The following is a 5,681-nucleotide window of genomic DNA, read 5'->3' as shown; positions in this document are numbered from 1 at the left end:
ACTTAAAGTCAACAATCAACATATACTTAAAATGAAACTAATAGATTTGGAAAAGATAGTGGTAATTAAAACAAAGAGTTATATATATATAATATATATATAATATATAATGTATTATATATATATATACACACACACACATTTGCATTTCTTTGGGTGAGAAGAATTGGACTGTTTAAAATAAATAAACATATATATCCTCAAATATATACATACTTTAAAAAAGTGAGAGAAGTTACACAGAGTCATATGGTTAGCCTTTGACTACCCCCCAAAACTCATCTTGAATTGTAATCTCCAGAATCCCCAAGTGTCAAGGAAGAGACCAGCAGGAGGTAATTGAATCATAGTTGTAGCTTCTCCATGTTGTTCTCATGATAGTGAGTTAGTTCTCATGAAATCTGATGGTTTTATAAGGGACTCTGCTCCCTCTGTTCAGCACTTCTTCTTCCTGCCATCTTGTGATAAGATGCCTTGCTTTCCCTTTGCCTTTCGCCATGATTGTAAGTTTCCTGAGCCCTGGAGGACTGTAAGTTAAATGTCTTTCCTTTATAAATTACCCAGTCTTGGGCAGTTCTTTATAGCAGTATGAAAACAGACTAATACACAGAGCAATTGTTATTAACTGAGAAATAAAAAAATATATACAATTCTTTGCTTCTCCATCATTCACTCTGCCATATTAATGCAGCATAACAAACCATTCCAAAACACAATGGCTTAAAACAATAAGAATTTGTTTTGTCTTGAGTCTGTGACTGAAAAATTCAGCTGGGCAATTTCTGAGTTTCACATGGATTCTCCGTCATGTCTGGGTATTACCTGACTGCTGTCTGGGGTATTATGTCTCTAGAAGTGAGCTGATTATTGCCTGGAACAACTTGTCTCTACTTCATTTTTCTCTCACCTCTCTCTGGTGGGCCAGCCTGGCTGTGTTTCCACATTGAAGGCAAAAGTGCACCAGTCCTTTTTTAGCTTTTTCTTATACTACAAATGCTAGGATATCAAAGGCAAAAGCAAGTCACATAGCTGAACTCAGAATTAAGATGTGTGTAATTATGTTATGTGCTTCATAACAGGAACTGCAAAGTCCCATTTTAAAGTGTATACATTCAGGAGAGGCAAAGGACTAGGGCTATTAAGGCAACAAGTTTATTACAGCCCAAAGGTTTAAAATCATGATTTACATTTTATTGGATGAGGGTTGCAAACAAAATGAAATAAAATATTATATTTTATTTTTAAATACATATAATTAATTAAATTTTATATTTCTATTTGTTTCTGCGCAAAACTAGAAAAAAAAATACCCAGGACAACATAAATTGGAACCTACTGTGCATTTACAAAATACAAATAGAAAGAAATACATCAACATAAAAATAATTTACTTGCAAAACTTTCAAATATAAAGCTACTTAGTCATACAAGATTCATTAAAAAAGTACTTGACAAACAACTGTTTTTCCATTATCTTAGGTGACTATGATTGTCAATTCAGTTGTTTTTGTGTATTACCTAAGGAATAGCTAGGGTCAGGAAGTAAATTTCACTCTGGTGTACAAAACATTGACAAGTATCTATGACAAGATTGGCTAATCTCACAGAACATTTGGCATAGATTTTCTTAAAGTATACTGGATTACATTTTTAGTAGGATTAAAACATTTTCTAAGAAATAAAATTTGGTGAAAATTAGTCATAAATATATAAGTCAGTCTAAGAGAATAAAGGCAAACAGTAATTGCAAAGTTGATTTCAGTTAGTATTCTATAAATATTCTCCAAATTGTATGTTAAATTTTTTATTTTATTTTATTATTGTTTTTGTTATCGTAAGGTAAATCAGCCACCACTGACAGCAATGATAATTGGGTTTATAATTTATGAGTAGCTGCCGATGATACAAAATTAAATATTGGACAAAGTTCACACATGATGACATATTATAAAACAACTAAGCAAAGAGAAGATAAGCAAGGATCAAAGCCATTTTAAAAAACTGGGTAACTTAAAAAGGCTTTTCCCTAGGCCTATCAGTTAAAAAGAAAAAAAAGAAAAAATAGAGAGACTCGTTCTCCATATAATATGGGGCTTTGAATGTGAGAAAAATAGAATCAAACACATTATTCCAGAACCTTTGATAACAAAACAAAAGTTACAGGAATAAATATTAGTCCCCATCTAAACAAATCATATCTGAGAACTTAATTAATAATGTAAATTTAACTTATCTGGTAAAATGTTTGAAAACAATTTGGCATTCTGATAGATTTTTTTTAATTAATTCTAAGGCAGTATTAAAATATGTTGGACTAGCTTTTCACAACTGAATATTAATTTAAGGGATCAATTTTTGATATGCTTAATCTCTTCAACTACTTTCTACAGAAAAATATGTGCATGAAAGACTAGAGCATAATGACATTTTGGTGCACTACTGAGCACATACATGGCAGTGGTCCCATAAGATAATAATTGTGCTGAAAAATTCCTATGGCCTAGTTACACTGTAGACATTGTAACATTTTAGTGTAAGGCATGACTCGAGTTTGTGGCGTTGCTGGTGTAAACAAACCTACTGCACTGCCAGTTTAGAAAAGAAAGTATATAGTTAACTTCAGTACATTACTGGATAACGATAATAAATGGTCATGTTACTGGTTTATATATTTTTATACTGTACTTTTTATCATTATATTAGAGTGTATTCCTTCTACTTATTTTAAAAAAAAAGTAACTGTAGAAGAGGTACTTGCAACAGCTCCATTTGTGTTACGCCCCCTGAAGACCTTCCAGTGACACAAGATACGGATGTGAAAGACAGCGATATTGATAATTGTGGTACTGCATGGGCCTAGGCTAATGTGTGTGTTTGTGTCTTAGTTTTTAACAAAAAGTTGAAAATGTTAAAAATGTTAAAAACAGGAAAAGCTTATGGAATAGGGATATAAAGAAAGAAAATATGTTTATACAGCTGTACAACGTGTTTGTGTTTTAAGCTAAGTGTGGTTACACAAGAGTTAAAGAATTGAAAGGAATTAAAAAGTTTATAAAATAAAAAAGTTACAGTAAGCTCAGATTAATTTATTCAAGAAAGAAAATTTCTAAAAAGAATTTAATGTAGCCTAATTATACAATGTTTATAAAGTCTAGAGTAGTGTAGAGAAATGTCTCAGGCCTTCACATTCACTCACCACTCACCCAGTGACTCACCCAGTGGAACTTCCAGGCCTGCAAGCTCCATTCTTGGTAAGTCTTTATAAAGGTGTACCATTTTTTTTTATTTTATACTGTATTTTTAAATTATTTTATTTTTTATTTGAGATAGTGTCTTGCTGCTTCCCAGGATTGTTTCAAATTCCTGGGCTCAAGAAATACTCCCACCTCAACCTCCAGAGTGGCTGGGATTATAGGCACACACCACTACGCCTGCCATATTCTCTATTTTCACTATGCCTTCTCTATGTTTAGATATACCAATACTTGCCATTGTGTTACAGTTGCCTACAGTATACAGTTGAGTAACTTACTGTACAGTTTGGTAGCCTAGGAACAAAAGGCTGTAAGATATAGCCTAAGTGTGTCATAGGCTATACCATCTAGGTTTGTGTAAGTAAAATCTATATTTGCCTAATGACAAAATTGCTTAACAACACATTTCTCATCATTAAGCAATGCATGACTGTGCATTTATTTTCATTTTTCTGTTTGAAAGTACTTATTGATTTCTCAACTGAAACAATGTGATGGTTAATTTTAGGTGTCAACTTGCCTAGGCTGTGGTGCCAAATTGTTTTGTAAAATACCCAGCTAGATGTTGTGGGGAAAGTATTTTTTGAAGTAATTAACATTTAAATTGGTAGATGTTGAGTAAAGCAGATTACTTCCACAATGTGGTGGTCCTCATCCAAACAACGGAAAGCCTTAAAAACAAATCTAGGTCCCTGTTAAGAAAGGAATTCTCTGTTGAGTCAAAAATAGAAATTCTGCCTAAGTTTCCAGGGTTCAGACTGGAGACTGCAATATTAACTCTTGGCAGAATTTCTAGTTTACTGGCCTGATTCTAACTTGCATGCCCCCTCAATTGCATGAGTCAAAGGTGGTTTATTTGGCCCTTAAAGTAAACCTTCTCTCTTGTCTCTCTCTCTCTAGACATGAGATTTATCTATATTTATCAATCAATCAAATTTGTCTATACCAGGAGAACTTTAATATAAACAGGAAAATGTTATCTAGGCTAGTTTAATGTAGCAAAATTCAAATCAAACACTGACGAGACATTGAAGGCAGGTAAGAAAAGATATGTGAACAATCAGCTTATAAACAAGCAAATAATCCTCCTAAGATCCCTTGATCCATATTTTAACAAATAGAAGTCTCATTTGTTCTTAGGCCAAAATGATGGTAACTTACTCTTCTATCCTTAAAAATACTCAGCCAAATATCACTTATTAAATTATTAAATAATTACTCCCCTAAACTGGAGTTCCTACATAGTTTTGAATACTTTATCCAAAATGTATGCAAGTGTCACTGGATGCTTTGGCTGTTGCTTCACCAGCGGCAAACTCTGTGGCCAGCAGCACCTCTGGCTGAATTTCACTTGCACCCACTGGGCTTGTTTCCAAACACTCATCCGACAGGCTGTGCTTGCTTCACGCTATTGGCTTAGATCCCACGTCCACTGAGGGTGAGCCAGGTGCGGAGTAGTGAGGGATGTGTAAGCAAGTGAGCACAGGGTCCAGCCACTGCTCACAGCCAGGTGCGCTGGCTGCTGTGGCAGAACGGGTAGCTCCAGGTGCTGGCTCAGGTGCCAGCTGCATGGAAGGCTGCAGCTGGACTGGGCGTACCACAACAGCTTCTGCTGCAGGCGCCAGCATCTGAACAAGGGGAACAAGGTGGCATCTGAAAACTTAGAGATGCCAGCCACCACAGGGCCCCAAGGGGTGGAGGATGAGTTACCACTCTCTCAGTCCAGCTGCCCATGGCACAGCAAACATGGGACGGTGCCTGTTTCAGCCCATTTGTATTACAGCTTGGTCAGCCACTCTGGTCTGCAGCTCCTGGGCAGGCCCAGCCCTGCCACTGCTTCCCATCCCAAGAGGCAGCTGCCCAATGCCAGCAGAGGGTGAGAAGGCTACAGAGTTACGGCTCTGGCTTGGGGAATACTGAAATCTGAGGTCCCAGAAGGGTTGTGCTGTTTACTCCCACGGTCTGATGAACAAGAGCGTGTCACTGCTTGCAGCTCAGTGAGCTGGCCAGGAACATGTTACAGCCCTTTTTGTGCCTGCAATTCAGCAGGTCCTGAGTTCCTGTCTGGAGTCCAAGAACAATGCAATAATGCAGACAACTGGAGGGTGACCAAAGCAGAGAAAAGCTTTATAGAGTCACACAACAGCTCTCAGCAGAGAGTAGACCTGAAGTGGGTAGCTCTTATCTGCAGGCAGGTAGTTCAAAAGTGTCTCTGAGTCCAGCTGAGTCTGGGGTTTTTATAGGCTTAGAATGGAAGAACTGTGTGCTGACTGGTCCAGGGTGGGAGCAAGTGCTTGCTTATTGGTCCATGGACGGATCTGGAAAAAGTATCATTAGATTGGCCAAACTGCATCAAAGAAGTTCTCACTCCAGGCAGTGTACTCCACCAGGAACTGGCAGCCCAGATTTCAGACTTTCAGCTCTCTC

General features: G+C 37.0%; 3 annotated features.

Moving 5' to 3' along the window:
• Positions 295-495: a silencer, noted in NCBI's record as "peak4908 fragment used in MPRA reporter construct". NCBI's record gives its function as "represses an SCP1 promoter by STARR-seq MPRAs in K562 erythroleukemia cells {active_cell/tissue: K562}" and the evidence as "EXISTENCE:reporter gene assay evidence [ECO:0000049][PMID:32103011]".
• Positions 4,398-4,898: an enhancer, noted in NCBI's record as "H3K4me1 hESC enhancer chr3:166162593-166163093 (GRCh37/hg19 assembly coordinates)". NCBI's record gives its function as "activates a minimal SCP1, AML or CMV promoter by ChIP-STARR-seq in primed H9 embryonic stem cells {active_cell/tissue: H9 hESC(primed)}" and the evidence as "EXISTENCE:reporter gene assay evidence [ECO:0000049][PMID:30033119]".
• Positions 4,899-5,399: an enhancer, noted in NCBI's record as "H3K4me1 hESC enhancer chr3:166162092-166162592 (GRCh37/hg19 assembly coordinates)". NCBI's record gives its function as "activates a minimal SCP1, AML or CMV promoter by ChIP-STARR-seq in primed H9 embryonic stem cells {active_cell/tissue: H9 hESC(primed)}" and the evidence as "EXISTENCE:reporter gene assay evidence [ECO:0000049][PMID:30033119]".

Source organism: Homo sapiens, chromosome 3 (assembly GCF_000001405.40).
Source record: "Homo sapiens chromosome 3, GRCh38.p14 Primary Assembly".
Taxonomy (NCBI): domain Eukaryota; kingdom Metazoa; phylum Chordata; class Mammalia; order Primates; family Hominidae; genus Homo; species Homo sapiens.
This window is presented reverse-complemented; position numbering and strand designations above follow the sequence as displayed.